Genomic DNA, 13518 nt, shown 5'->3' with positions numbered 1-13518 from the left:
ACCCTCCCGAATAGCTGTGACTACACACGTGTGCCACCATACCCAGTTAATTTTTGTATTGTCTGCAGAGATGGGGTTTTGCCATGTTTCCCAGGCTAGTCTCAAACTCCTGGGCTCAACTGATCTGCTGATCTCGGTCTTTCAAAGTGCTGCGATCACAGGTGTGAGTCACCATGCCTGGCTCCACATAACAATATACTTGTCACGTCCCCTCAGGCTGCTTTTTTTTTTTTTTTTTTGAGATGGACACTTGCTCTATTGCCAAAGCTGGAATGCAGTGGTGTGATCTGGGCTCACTGCAACCTCCGCCTCCCGGATTCAAGCAATTCTCCTGCTTCAGCCTCCCGAGTAGCTGGGACTATAGGCGCATGCCACCATGCCCGGCTAATTTTTGTATTTTTAGTAGATATGGGGTTTCACTATGCTGGCCAGGCTGGTATTGAACTCTTGACCTCATGATCCACCCGCCTCAGCCTCCCAAAGTGCTGGGATTACAGGCGCGAGCCACTGCTCCTGGCCCCTTAGGATGCTCTTGACTGTGACAGTTTCTCAGATTTTTCCTCTTTTGGGTGACCTTGATAGTTTTGAGGAGTACTGGTCAGTTATATTATAGGATGTCCCTCTATTGAAATTTCTCTGATGTTTTTCTCATGATTGAACTGAGGTTATGAGTTTTGGGGAGGAAGATCATTTTCCTCACATCACATCAAGGGTATATACTCGGTACTATAAACAAAAAATGAAAGTCTCAGCCCCCCAACCATCTGAATGGACCCCTCCTTCTGGCCAAGGGCATTCCAAAGTTAACCTGAAAAACTAGTTCAGGCCATGACTGGAAGGAGGTCAGACATGCCTCATTATACCCTTCCCCCTTTTGGAATTCAGGCACAGCTGACCAGTATTACCATCAAAACAGAGACCTTAAGACTGACAGAACAGTCTGTCAGTCATGCACAAAGTCTGTCAGTCTTTAAGTCTGATAAGAAATATTTGCAATCTATTCTCTCTGAAGCCTGCTACCTGGAGGCTTCATCGGCATGATAAAACCTTGGTCTATGCAACCCTTTATAGTAACCCAGACATCCCTTTCTATTGATCTCAGGTCTTTAGATAATAACCCATTGGCAAGCAGAAAATCCTTGCTTTTTTATTTTTATTTTTTAAGAGTAGAGACAGGGTCTGACTGGGAGTGGTGGCTCACGCCTGTAATCCTAGCACTTTGGGAGGCCGAGCCAGGCAGATCACAAGGTCAGGAGATCGAGACCATCCTGGCCAACATGGTGAAACCCCGTCTCTACTAAAAATACAAAAATTAGCTGGTTGTGGTGGTACATGCCTGCAATCCCAGCTACTCGGGAGGCTGAGGCAGGAGAATTGCTTGAACTTGGGAGGCAGAGGTTGTAGTGAGCTGAGGTTGCACCGCTGCACTTCAGCCTGGTGACAGAGTGAGGCTCTGCCTCAAAAAAAAAAAAATAGGGATGGGGTCTTGCTATGCTGCCCAGGTTGGTCCCCAACTCCTGGGCTCAAGCTATCTGCCTACCTTAGCCTCCCAAAGTGCTGCGATTACAGGCATGAGTTTCCATGCCTCAGAATCAGAAAATCGTTGAATCTGCTTATGACCTGGAAGCCCCCACAACCCCTTCCAGCTGTCCAGTCTTTTCGGACCTAACCAGTGTACGTCATACATGTATTAATTGGTATCTTCATTTTTATTATATTTTAATTAATTAATTAATTTTTTTTGAGACGGATTCTCGCTCTGTTGCCCAGGCTAGAGTGCAGTGGCATAATCTCGGCTCACTGCAACCTCCACCTCCCAGGTTCAAGCAATTCTCCTGCCTCAGCCTCCTGAGTAGCTGGGACTACAGGCGCATGCCACCACGCCAGCTAATTTTTTGTACTTTTAGTAGAATTGGGGTTTTACCATGTTGGCCAGGCTAGTGCCAAACTCCTGACCTCAAATGATCTGCCCACCTTGGCCTCTCAAAGTGCTGGGATTACAGGTGTGAGCCACTACACCTGGCCTTATATATTTATTTACAATCTCTAGTCCAACAGAGATATATATTTTTTGAGACAGGATCTCATTCCACTGCCCAAGCTGGGGTGCAGTGGTGTGATCATAGGTGACTACAGCCCTGACCTCCTAGGCTCAAGAGATCCTCTTGCCTCAGCCTCCCAAGTAGCTGAGACTACAGGCACATGTCACCATGCCTGACTAAGCTTTGTATTTTTTGTAGACATGGGGACTCACCATGTTGCCCAGGCTGGACTTGAACTCCTGGGGTCAAGTGATCCTCCCATCTTGGCCTCCCAGATCCACTCCCTTGGGATTATAGACTGAGCCACTGATGCCTAGCCAATTGATGTCTTTTCTTTTCTTTTCTTTTCTTTTTTTTGAGATGGAGTCTCACTCTATCTTCCAGGCTGGAGTGTAATGGTGCGATCTCAGCTCGCTGCAACCTCTGCCTCCCGGGTTCAAGTGATTTTCCTGCCTCAGCCTCCTTAGTAGCCCTAGCCGGGGATACAGGCACGCACCACCATGCCCGGCTAATTTTTACATTTTTAGTAGAGATGGGGTTTCACCATGTTGGCCAGGCTGGTCTCAAATTCCTGACTTCAAATGATCCACTTGCCTTGGCCTCCCAAAGTGGTGAGATTACAGGCGTGAGTCACCATGCGTGGCCCTAGTGTCTTATGTCTCCTTGAATATATAAAACCAAGTTGTAGCCTGACCACCTTGGGCACATGACCTGAGGACATCCTGAGGTTGTATCGTGGGCATGTTCTTAACCTTGGCAAAATAAACTTTTAAATTGGTTGAGACTTGTCTCAGATACTTTCTGGTTTACAGCAAGCACATACTGTTGTCATGATCGATAACTGTTGGCAACTGATTTTGGTCACCTGGCTGGAGTAGTATTGATCAGTTTCCCCAATGTAAAGTTTCTTCTCTTTTTCCTCCTTCCCATATTGTACTCGTTGGAAGAAGTCACGGCGCATAACCCACACTTAAGGAGTGGGAAATTATGCTCCCTCTCCTTTAGAGTTATATTTTAACTCTAGGAAAACAACCCCACAAAACAGATACCTAACTCTTTTCACCAGTGGGCATGCTTTGTACTCCAAGCAGCTGCCCTGGGCTGGCTAAATAGTCTACACTGGCCACTGTTATAGTAAATTAAAATGGAGATCAGGCCTGAAGAATCCCTGGCTAGACAATGCTAGTTAGGCCTCATAAGGGAACTCAGCCTTGCTGGATTTGCAAACATAAGCAAAACTTAACTTGGGTCAATGTGATGGTTAATACTGACTGTCAACTTGATTGGATTGAAGGACACAAAGTATTGATCCTGGGTGTGCCTGTGAGGGTGTTCCCAATGGAGATTAACATTTGAGTCAGTGGTCTGGGAAAGGATGGCCCACCCTTAATCTGGGTGGGCACAATCTAATCAGCTGCCAGCATGGCTAGAACATAAAGCAGGCAGAAAAATGTGAAAAGAGAGACTGGCCTAGCCTCCCAGCCTACATCTTTTTCCCGTGCTGGATGCTTCCTGCCTTCAAACATCAGACTCCAAGTTCTTCATTTTTGGAACTCGGACTGGCTCTCCTTGCTTCTCAGCCTGCCAATGGCCTGTTATGGGACCTTGTGATTGTGTGAGTTAATACTTAATAAACTCCCCTTTATATATATATATATATATATATATATATATATATATACACACACACACACACACACACACACACACACACGTGTGTATATATGTGTGTGTGTATATATACACACATATGTATATATATAACGGGGAGTTAAAAAAGTAATGGAATATATATATACAAATATATGTGTATGTATATATACCATTAGTTTTATTTTATTATTATTGTTTTTTGAGATGGGATTACACTCTTGTTGCCCAGGCTGGAGTGCAATGGCTTGATCTCAGCTCACTGCAACCTCCGTCTCCTAGGTTCAAGCGATTCTTCTGCCTCAGCCTCCCAAGTAGCTGGGATTACAGGTGCCCACCACCACGCCCAGCTAATTTTTTGTATTTTGTAGAGATGGGGTTTCGCCATGTTAGTCAGGCTGGTCTCGAACTCCTAACCTCAGGTGATCCACCTGCCATGGCCTCCCAAAGTGCTGAGATTACAGGCGTGAGCAACCGTGTCCAACCCTATTCCGTTAGTTCTGTCCCTCTGTAGAACCCTGACTAATAGAGTCATTTCTGGTAAATGCTAATGTTAGACAGAAACGAAACTTAACATTAGCCAACCACAAGCAGCCAACTAACATACAATTAAGTAGCTGTGGACTTTTCAACAAAGGAAACCAAAAAAGGAGATTTTTTAACTGTAACCAATTTTATATATATATATGTATATATATATATATGTGTGTGTGTGTGTGTGTGTGTGTGTGTGTGTGTATATATATATATATTTTTTTTTTTTTTTTTTGAGAGGGAATCTTTGTTGCCCAGGCTGGAGTTCAGTGGTGCAATCTTAGCTCACTACAATCTCTGCCTCCCGGGTTCCAGCGATTCTCCTGCCTCAGCGTCCACAGTATCTGGGATTACAGGCACATGCCATCACACCCAGCTAATTTTTGTATTTTCAGTAGAGACGGGGTTTCACCATTTTGGTCAGGCTGGTCTCGAACTTCTGACCTCAAATGATCTGTCCGCTTTGGCCTCCCAAAGTGCTAGGATTACAGGCGTGAGCCACCATGCCTGTCCCCAACAAAATATCTTGCTTCCATATTCTCCCCATAAATATTTGCCTCTGATGCATTGTCATGGGAACACTCAACCTCTTTCCATCTGGTGTTCCCCGATTCAAGAATTGCCTGTTACTCAAGTATACTCTTAAAAAAGTTTTGTTGATCCTCAGACTTTACATTTTAACACCACCCTACCTCCTAGAGCGCCAGTTTTCTGATCTGTAAAATGGGTGTTGCGGATCTTTCACTCCCTAGGACTGTAGGGAATAGAAAGTCTCTGGTTGTCAATGTCAGTCAATGTCAATTCCTTCTGCCTCCCCCATTTCACTACTGGGAACTCCGAGGCCCAGAGAGGGGCATTAACTAATGTCAACTTTAATAACGGGATTCAAGCAATATGTTTAAGTAATTTATTTAAGCGTAAAAGAAAATATAGGAAGAGGCAAGTTGCCGTGGCTCAGGCCTGTAATCCCACCACTTTGGGAGGCTGAGGTGGGAGGATCACTTGAGCCCAGGAGGTTGAGGTTGCAGTGAGCCTGATCCGCCACTGCACTTCAGCCTGAGCGATAGAGTGAGACCCTGTCTCTGAAAAAAAAAAAAGAAAGAAAGAAAGAAAAGGAAGGAAATTAATCTATATCAAAAGGTCAGTCCTTAAGGGGTCTGCTCCATTTCTCGGTCTCCAAAGTCAGCCCTTCTCAGGGCCTAACAACTTTTAGAAGCCCCAAATAGACAGACTGTCCATTTCTTTCTGCACTTGGCCCAGTCTCACTGCAAGCCACGCCTGGCTCAGCCCCGTCCCGCCTTGAGCCTCGGTGTTCCCACCTAGGGGCGGGCAGCCAGGGGCACTTCCGCTGGCCCAAGTGATCTGCATGTGGCAGGGCTGCGCAGTGGAGCGGCCAGTGGGCAGGATGACGAGCCAGACCCCTCTGCCCCAGTCCCCCCGGCCCAGGCGGCCAACGGTAAGTGCGAGGCTAGCTGCGTCCCCGCGCCTCTGTCCTCCGCCTCTTCCCTCCGCCTCTTCCCTCCCTTCCAGTTTCTCCTGCCCGTCCCTCCCAGACGCCCGAGCCCCCTGCTTCTGGCGCGCTGTCCCCCTTCACCTCGGGCTGGTCGCTCTCTTCAATCTTTGCCGTCCCTCCTGCTGGGATCACTCTCCTTTCGCGCCTCGGTGTCCCTTTCTGGTTTGGCTCTGTCCAGCCTTTCCTCTTTGCCCTTTTGCTTCCTCCCTCTACATTGGGTCTTTAGTTCCTTTCCCTTGTCTCTTCCCCACCGGCTTGTCCTAGCCCACGACTCCTCCTCTGCCCCACCTTCTCCCTTGCTCCCGGTGGGAGAAGCCCATCCAACCAGCTCGGCCAGAGGATCTTTCCCTCACCTGCAGCCCTCTCCAGCCTGCCCCTGCCCCTTGGCTGGGTCTTCAGCCTGCCCCTGCCCTCTGGCTGGGTCCCAAATCCCTCTGCTTGCCTGCCTGGTCCCCAGCTTGGGTGAGGGGAGTTGGGGAGGAGGATGGGGAAAAGGCTGCGTGCACTCTGGGAGCAGAACATTCGGGTTCTCTCCTGCACTGAGAGTCATCCTGAAGACCTGGAGGAAGAGAAAGCAGATCCAGCAGCAGGGCAGCGTGGCTCTCTCTAATAGGGCCATGATCACGTCATTGTTGTTGGCTATTGACAAAGCCACATGCCTAGTGCCAGGACCACCCTAGGTGTTCCATAAATGCCTGAATGAATTACTGGGGAAGTGTAAGGCACTGTGCATGATGCCAGGTAGGGCAAGATTGGCCTTGAACAGAATACTAGATGCTCCTGTAAATCAGAGGATATTCCCCTCCCTTAGGAGCCTCACAGAGTTTTTGTTTGTTTGTTTGTTTGTTAAAATAGAGATGGGGTCTCGCCATGTTGGTGAGACCCAGGCTGGTCTCAAACTCTTAGGCTCAGGCAATCCTCCTACCTCAGCCTCCCAAAGTGCTGGGATTACAGGCATGAAACACAGCACTTGGCCAGGAACCTCACAGTCAATGAAGAAACAGGGAATTGCAAGGGAAGAACTGCCAGGCCAGTGGAAGTATAGTAGTGTAGGACTTTCTGGGATCACAGTGAGACAACCCACCCCGAAGGACTCCCAGAGGAATTCATCTGAAGGATGAGTGGGGTCAGAGAAAGGAGTGCGGATGGCCAAGTGAGTGAGCTTCTGGAGGTGAGGGGGCTTGCCCAGCTCTGGATTGGAGGAGTGGGGAGCAGCAGGCAGTTCTGGTAGTTGATTGCGAGGGGTGAAGTAGCAGCCTAGTTGCAAAGGGCCTCTAAACCTTGTTATGGAGTCTGCTGTTTATCTGGAAGGGAATGAAAAGTTACTCAAGTGTTTAATGCAGGGAGTGACAGGATCAGATTTGTACTTCAGAAAACGTACTCTCAGCCAGGCGTGGTAGCTCATGCCTGTAGTTCCAGCACTTTGGGAGGCAGAGGTGGGTGGACCACCTACCTCAGGCGTTCGAGGCCAGCCTGGCCAACATGGCAAAACCCTGTCTGTATAAAAAATAGAGAAATTAGCTGGACATGGTGGCACACACCTGTAGTCCCAGCCACTCTGGAGGCTGAGGCAGGAGAATCGCTTGAGCCTAAGAGGTGGGGGTTGCAGTGAGCCGAGATTGTACCACTGCACTCCAGCCTGGGCAACAGAGTGAGACCTTGTCTCAAAACAAAAAACAAGCAAACAAAAACAAAAAACAAAAAGAAGCTTAGGAACACGGCTGAGGTCTTGTTTGATAAAGAAATGGAGCTGAAGATGTCAGTGCAGGAAACTTTTTTTTTTTTTTTTTTTTTTTTTTTTTTTTGAGACAGGGTCTCCCTCTGTCACCTAGGCTGGAGTGCAGTAGTGCAATCTTGGCTCACTGCAACCTCTGCCTTCCGGGTTCAAGCAATTCTCAGCCTCCCAAGTAGCTGGGATTACAGGCATGCACCACCAGGGCCCAGCTAATTTTTTGTATTTTTAGTAGAGATAGGGTTTTGCCATGTTGTCCAGGCTAGTCTTGAACTCCTGGCCTCAAGTGATCCTCCCACCTTGGCCTCCCAAAGTGCTGGGATTACAGGCGTAAGCCACTGCACCCAGCCTGTTTTTTTGAAGCATCTGGAAATTAGCTTCAGAAAGGATATTTGATGTGATTGGATCTGTTAGACTTTCAGAGCTGGGGAAGCTTAGCATTCTTTTGGTCCATTTTGCCTCCCTATTTCACAGATGACTAAGCTTAGTTCCAGAGACGGAAAGCAAAGGGCCCTGGGCACATATCAAAGTATTGGCAGTAGGGGGGCAGGATGTTGGGAAGGATGGCGGTGAGGCACCCTTACTGTGTTGGAGTCATGCTAATACAGGTATCATCTCAGCTCCAACTTCATCACATCCTAGCTGTGTGACTTCTGTCTGAGCTTTCCTTGCCTGTAACATGGGGACATTAGGAGGACCTGAGAGCTTTCAGTGGTGTAGGAGTAATGAGAACATATTGGTCCATTCAAGGGTTAAACTCTGCAGCTTTGCATTTAACTGCGAGCTTTACAGAGGTGACTTCAGGGTTAACCAAACAGCCCTGCCAAGGGGCCTTGAGGTTTATGGGAGAAAGAATCAGAGGTTCTGGGCTTATTTTTCTCAGCTCTATTGTTTGGCTGCTGTCAAGATGCGTCCTCTCCTCTGCCTTCTCCCTTCCAGTCAGCAGAACTGTCCCCTGGTAGGAGATGTTGTCATGGCAATCAGATTTCTCCAGCAGTTCGGTTGACTTTGGCTCTATTAACTCCAGTACTTTAATCTTAGGAGAGCCCACAGACCAGTTGAGAATGAGGACACACCTAAATCAGACTGAGGGACATTCCTGAGCCCTGTCCCCATCCCCACTCTTGTGGTTAAATCTTTCCTCTAACACTATGCATCTATTCCTCAGCAGCAGCGGCCATCACATCCCTTAGGAAACCTTCTCTGACAGCCTCCAACCCACATCCACAAAAAGACCTGACCCCTCCTACCTTTCAGTCTTCCCTCTCAGCACCTACATGCTTAAGCCGTCTATTTCGCTGTCTCCACTGTGAGTTCCTTGAAAGCAGGGACTGTGTCCTGTTCTTCTGTTTGGCACAAGGTTTGCATGTAATAGGCCCAACATACATTTTGTTGAATGAATGAGTCACTAAGGGAATGAAGAGTGAAGGTATTGGAAGACTGAAGGTAATTTATGTAATGACTAAGAGCTCAAGCTTGGAGTAAAACGGACCTGAGTTCAGATTCTGACATCATCACTTAATAACCAGTCTTAGTGCTCAGCCCAGGGTCTGGCACAGAGAGGTGGCCTCTAAAAGTTTTGTTGAACAACCAAACTTAACTTGCATTTGCACTGCACTTCGCAGTTTGTGAAGCAGTTTTACACCCACAATATGTAGAGTTACCGGCCTTTTCATTACGAAGAATGTTCCCGTTATTATTTAAGTCTCATGGGCCTATATTTTGAAAAACATTCATCAAACAAATTTCATTTTTGCTGGGCGTGGTGGCTTGCATCTGTAATCCCACCTGCTTGGGAGGCTCAGGCAGGAGGAAGCCTTGAAGCCAGGAGTTCAAGACCAGCCTGGGCAACATAGTAAGACCCGTCTCTAAAAAAATTTTTTTACATAACCAGATGCAGTGTTGAATGTCCTGTAGTCCCATCTACTTGGGAGGCTGAGGCAGGAGGATGACTTGAGCCCAAGTTCAAGGCTGCAGTGAGTTATGATCATGCCACTGCACACCCAGTCTGGGCAACAACAGAGCAAGACCGCATCTCTTAAAAAAAAATTCATTTCTGGCCGGGGCTGTGGCTCACGCCTGTAATCCCAACACTTTGGGAGGCCGAGGTGGGCAGATCACTTGAGGTCAGGAGCTCGAGACCAGCCTGGCCAACATGGTGAAACCCAGTCTGTGCTAAAAATACAAAAATTAGCCAGGCATGGTGGTGCACATCTGTACTTGGGAGGCTGAGGCACGATAATCGCTTGAGCCTGGGAGGCTGAAGTTGTAGTGAACCAAGATCACATCACTGCACTCTAGCCTGGGCGACTGAGCGAGACTCTGTCTCAAAAAAAAAAAAAAAGAAAAGAAAAAATTCCATTTTTAAATCAATCAAGGGCATGTGAACTGTTAACCAGAACTTCTAATCTATATGAAATAAGAATGTTTGTCCCCAACTCCCAGCACAGGATGTGGATACATAGTAAATACCCAAGAAATTCTTCCTGAATGAACACATGTATGGTTTCTTTAGTCTTTCTGAAATGTTGGAATTGTCCCTCCTACTTCACCCCCAGCTTTTATTATATCTTAGATCAGAGTTGAGCATCCCAGGTTGGAAACTCTTGACTTCATAACAACTCCACGTCCCCATTTTACTTTCTTCTTCTTATTTTTTTTTTTGAGTTGGACTCTCATTCTGTCGCGCAGGCTGGAGTGCGGTGGCATGATCTCAGCTCATTGTAACCTCTGCCTCCTGGGTTCAAGCGATTCTCCTGCCTCAGCCTCCCGAGCAGCTGGGACTATAGGCACGTGCCACCATGCCTGGCTAATTACTGTATTTTTAGTAGAGATGGGGTTTCACCATGTTGGCCAGGCTGGTTTCGAACTCCTGGTCTCAAGTGATCCACTCACCTCGGTCTCCCAAAGTGCTGGGATTATAGGCGTGAGGCACCATGCCCGGCCTTTACTTAAAAAAAAAATTTTTTTTCCTTAAATCTATTTAAAAAACAACAGAGATGGGGTCTTGCTATGTTGCCTAGGCTGGTCTCCAACTCCTGGCCACAAGTGATCCTCCTGCCTTGGCCTCCCAAAGTGTTGGGATTACAGGCATGAGCCACTATGCCCGGCCAATATCCTCATTTTATAGATGAGGAAACTGAGGCTGTAAGAGGGAAAAAGGCTTGCCAAAGGCCACAGACTTTGGAAGTATCATTGCTGAGACTTCCTTCCATGGCAGCCTCTTCCCATAACGTTCTTCTGTTATTGTTGTTGTTGTTATTGTTGGTTTTTTGAGACAGAGTCTTACTCTGTCACCCAGGCTGGAGTGCAGTGGGGTGATCTTGGCTCACTGCAGCCTCCACCTCCTAGGTTCAGGTGATTCTTGTGCCTCAGCCTCCTGAGTAGCTGGGATTACAGGCGCGTGCCATCACACCTGGCTAATTTTTGTATTTTTAGTAGAAACAGGGTTTTGCCAAGTTGGCCAGGCTTGTCTTGAACTCCTGACCTCAGGTGATCTGCCTGCCTCATCCTCCCAAAGTGCTGGGATTACAGGCGTGAGCCACCGTGCCTGGCCTCCTCCCATAACATTCTATGACCTAAAATTAAGATGCTTGAATGGGTATTCTTTTTTCAAACAGAAATCTTTCTTCCTCTTTAAAATGCCCACCCTCGGCCGGGCACTGTGGGAGGCTGAGGCAGGCGGATCACGTGAGGTCAGGAGTTTGAGACCAGACTAGCAAACATGGCGAAACCTCGTCTTTACTAAAAATACAAAAATTAGTTGGGCATGATGGCAGGCGCCTGCAGTCCCAGCGATTAGGGAGGCTGAGGCAGGAGAGTTGCTTTAATCGAGGTGGAAGTTGCAGTGAGCCGAGATTGCACCACTGCACCCTAGCCTGGGTGACAGAGCGAGACTCCGTCGAAAAAAAAAAAAAAAGCCCACCCCCTGGAGCAACACAGCATAAATATAACCCTCTTTAGTAAGATGGGCCTTTCACTAGCTGAAGCCAATCATTATGGCTCCCCTAAGTTTTTTATCCAGTTATCCTTTGGATAAAAATAAGTAATGCGCTCAGGGGAGATGGCGTGTTGGTTTACTCTGCCTCTTGTGCCCCCAGATGTCTACTGTTGTGGAGCTGAACGTCGGGGGTGAGTTCCACACCACCACCCTGGGTACCCTGAGGAAGTTTCCGGGCTCAAAGCTGGCAGAGATGTTCTCTAGCTTAGCCAAGGCCTCCACGGACGCGGAGGGCCGCTTCTTCATCGACCGCCCCAGCACCTATTTCAGACCCATCCTGGACTACCTGCGCACTGGGCAAGTGCCCACACAGCACATCCCTGAAGTGTACCGTGAGGCTCAGTTCTACGAAATCAAGCCTTTGGTCAAGCTGCTGGAGGACATGCCACAGATCTTTGGTGAGCAGGTGTCTCGGAAGCAGTTTTTGCTGCAAGTGCCGGGCTACAGCGAGAACCTGGAGCTCATGGTGCGCCTGGCACGTGCAGAAGCCATAACAGCACGGAAGTCCAGCGTGCTTGTGTGCCTGGTGGAAACTGAGGAGCAGGATGCATATTATTCAGAGGTCCTGTGTTTTCTGCAGGATAAGAAGATGTTCAAGTCTGTTGTCAAGTTTGGGCCCTGGAAGGCGGTCCTAGACAACAGCGACCTCATGCACTGCCTGGAGATGGACATTAAGGCCCAGGGGTACAAGGTATTCTCCAAGTTCTACCTGACGTACCCCACCAAAAGAAACGAATTCCATTTTAACATTTATTCATTCACCTTCACCTGGTGGTGATCCTCAGGAGCAGAGACTGTTATGAATTCTGGCGTGGCTTATGAAATTAAAAGTTGCCATCAAAGCCATTTTCTTTTAATTTCACAAACATCAGGCAATTTCCAGGGTTGGTCTAGAGTCTTGCCACTAAATATTGATCACTCGTTTAAGGACTTTCCACTCCATTGCAACTGATGCCACTATATTTGCCTAGCAACTTGCAGCTACTTCCTTTTCAAAGCCTCATGTATCTCCCAGACCCTTCTCTTGAAGTCCAATAACAAGACCAAGTAAGAATGTTTCAACAATGCGTTGGCAAGAGATGTGAGATGACAACAGGAACATACAAGATACTGTGAATCTAGATGTTCTGACCTAAAGATGTAGTCTACATAGCCCCAGCTTGGGGTCCAATCCATCTGTCCCTGGCATGTGCCTTCATGTAGTAGGTGCTTTCCTGATCCCCTTTGCGAGATGCTGTGGGTGCTAACACCTCAGAGCTGTCCTCTTCTCTAGAGTGGAGGTTTTCAAAGTGCATCATCAGCATTACCTGTGAACTTGCTGGAAATACAAATCCTCAGGCCCCACCTCAGACCTACTGAATCAGAATCTCTGGGGGTTGGCACAGCATTCTGATTTACCAAACCCTCCAAGTGATTTTGATGTATTCTAATTTTGAGACCATCTCTAGAAAAGAATTGCTACCTCTTGTATGGAGGTACAAAAGACTGACCTCTTACATCAAGGAACTTCCTTTCCCAGAGCTCCTCATGGAATCAAGCTGAAGTCAGTCTTCTTCTGAGAGCACATTCTTACTCAGTTTTTTTCCTCTGTCCTACGCTGCTTCCCTCACTCCCCTTCTCCTAAGAGCACTCCATCAATAAACCACTTGCACGAGAGTCTCAGTTTTGGTTCTGCTTCTCACCCTAATACAGGACTTGTCCTCTAAAGGAGGATACATGTAGACATTCATTCTTCTCCAAGTCCAGGTCTGAATTATATGACCCCCTTCCCTGCATAGTAGCTTGATCAGCTATGTGGGTTGTCTGGGACCTTCTTGGGACATAGGGTTTCTTTCTTGGGACCAAAGGGTTTCTTGGGATACAGGACTTCCAGTATGAAAACTTGGAAGTCTCATCGGGTGCAGTGGCTCACGCCTGTAATCACAGCACTTTGGGAGGCTGAGGCAGGCAGAGAACTTGAGGTCAGGGGTTCAAGACCAGCCTGGCCAACATGGTGAAACCCCATCTGTATTAGTCTGTTTTCACGCTGCTGATAAAGACATGCCTG

General features: G+C 47.6%; 2 protein-coding genes and 1 long non-coding RNA gene across 6 annotated transcripts in view, besides 5 other annotated features; 2 read left to right on the top strand and 1 right to left on the bottom strand.

The window, feature by feature from the left end:
- Positions 1–13127, top strand: part of NDUFC2-KCTD14 (NDUFC2-KCTD14 readthrough) — a 64148-nt gene extending 51021 nt beyond the window's left edge. For all 3 annotated transcript variants that reach the window (NM_001203262.2, NM_001203261.2, NM_001203260.2), the window contains one exon: positions 11572–13127. Coding sequence is in view for 1 of the 3 variants with exons in the window: in NM_001203261.2 (NP_001190190.1) it covers positions 11572–11606 (35 nt within the window). In the remaining 2 variants the exon portion in view is untranslated. The remainder of the gene's footprint in view (positions 1–11571) is intronic.
- KCTD14 (potassium channel tetramerization domain containing 14) overlaps positions 1–13127 on the top strand; it is a 30477-nt gene extending 17350 nt beyond the window's left edge. Inside the window, exons 1-2 of one of the 2 annotated variants that reach the window (NM_023930.4) lie at positions 5566–5682; positions 11572–13127. In NM_023930.4, the coding sequence (NP_076419.2) occupies positions 5593–5682; positions 11572–12249 (768 nt within the window). In that variant the 5' untranslated portion in view covers positions 5566–5592 and the 3' untranslated portion in view covers positions 12250–13127. Of the gene's footprint in view, positions 1–5565; positions 5683–11571 lie in introns of those variants that run through there. The other variant, NM_001282406.2, reaches the window with a different exon arrangement.
- Positions 65–359: a silencer, noted in NCBI's record as "tiled region #11011; K562 Repressive DNase unmatched - State 8:EnhW". NCBI's record gives its function as "represses a minimal TATA promoter and a strong SV40 promoter by Sharpr-MPRA in K562 cells {active_cell/tissue: K562}" and the evidence as "EXISTENCE:reporter gene assay evidence [ECO:0000049][PMID:27701403]".
- Positions 5072–5639: an enhancer, noted in NCBI's record as "H3K27ac-H3K4me1 hESC enhancer chr11:77734249-77734816 (GRCh37/hg19 assembly coordinates)". NCBI's record gives its function as "activates a minimal SCP1, AML or CMV promoter by ChIP-STARR-seq in naive H9 embryonic stem cells {active_cell/tissue: H9 hESC(naive)}" and the evidence as "EXISTENCE:reporter gene assay evidence [ECO:0000049][PMID:30033119]".
- LOC124902723 (uncharacterized) lies at positions 5120–6299 on the bottom strand. The gene is made up of 2 exons (XR_007062795.1): positions 5821–6299; positions 5120–5308 (listed from the first exon to the last, which is right to left on the bottom strand). It is a non-coding gene; the product is annotated as an uncharacterized LOC124902723 (long non-coding RNA).
- Positions 5640–6209: an enhancer, noted in NCBI's record as "H3K27ac-H3K4me1 hESC enhancer chr11:77733679-77734248 (GRCh37/hg19 assembly coordinates)". NCBI's record gives its function as "activates a minimal SCP1, AML or CMV promoter by ChIP-STARR-seq in primed H9 embryonic stem cells {active_cell/tissue: H9 hESC(primed)}" and the evidence as "EXISTENCE:reporter gene assay evidence [ECO:0000049][PMID:30033119]".
- Positions 6210–6777: an enhancer, noted in NCBI's record as "H3K27ac-H3K4me1 hESC enhancer chr11:77733111-77733678 (GRCh37/hg19 assembly coordinates)". NCBI's record gives its function as "activates a minimal SCP1, AML or CMV promoter by ChIP-STARR-seq in primed H9 embryonic stem cells {active_cell/tissue: H9 hESC(primed)}" and the evidence as "EXISTENCE:reporter gene assay evidence [ECO:0000049][PMID:30033119]".
- Positions 11692–12192: an enhancer, noted in NCBI's record as "H3K27ac hESC enhancer chr11:77727696-77728196 (GRCh37/hg19 assembly coordinates)". NCBI's record gives its function as "activates a minimal SCP1, AML or CMV promoter by ChIP-STARR-seq in naive and primed H9 embryonic stem cells {active_cell/tissue: H9 hESC(naive and primed)}" and the evidence as "EXISTENCE:reporter gene assay evidence [ECO:0000049][PMID:30033119]".
- Positions 13128–13518: the final 391 nt, after the last annotated feature.

The sequence above is a fragment of the Homo sapiens genome, chromosome 11, assembly GCF_000001405.40.
Source record: "Homo sapiens chromosome 11, GRCh38.p14 Primary Assembly".
Lineage (NCBI taxonomy): Eukaryota > Metazoa > Chordata > Mammalia > Primates > Hominidae > Homo > Homo sapiens.
This window is presented reverse-complemented; position numbering and strand designations above follow the sequence as displayed.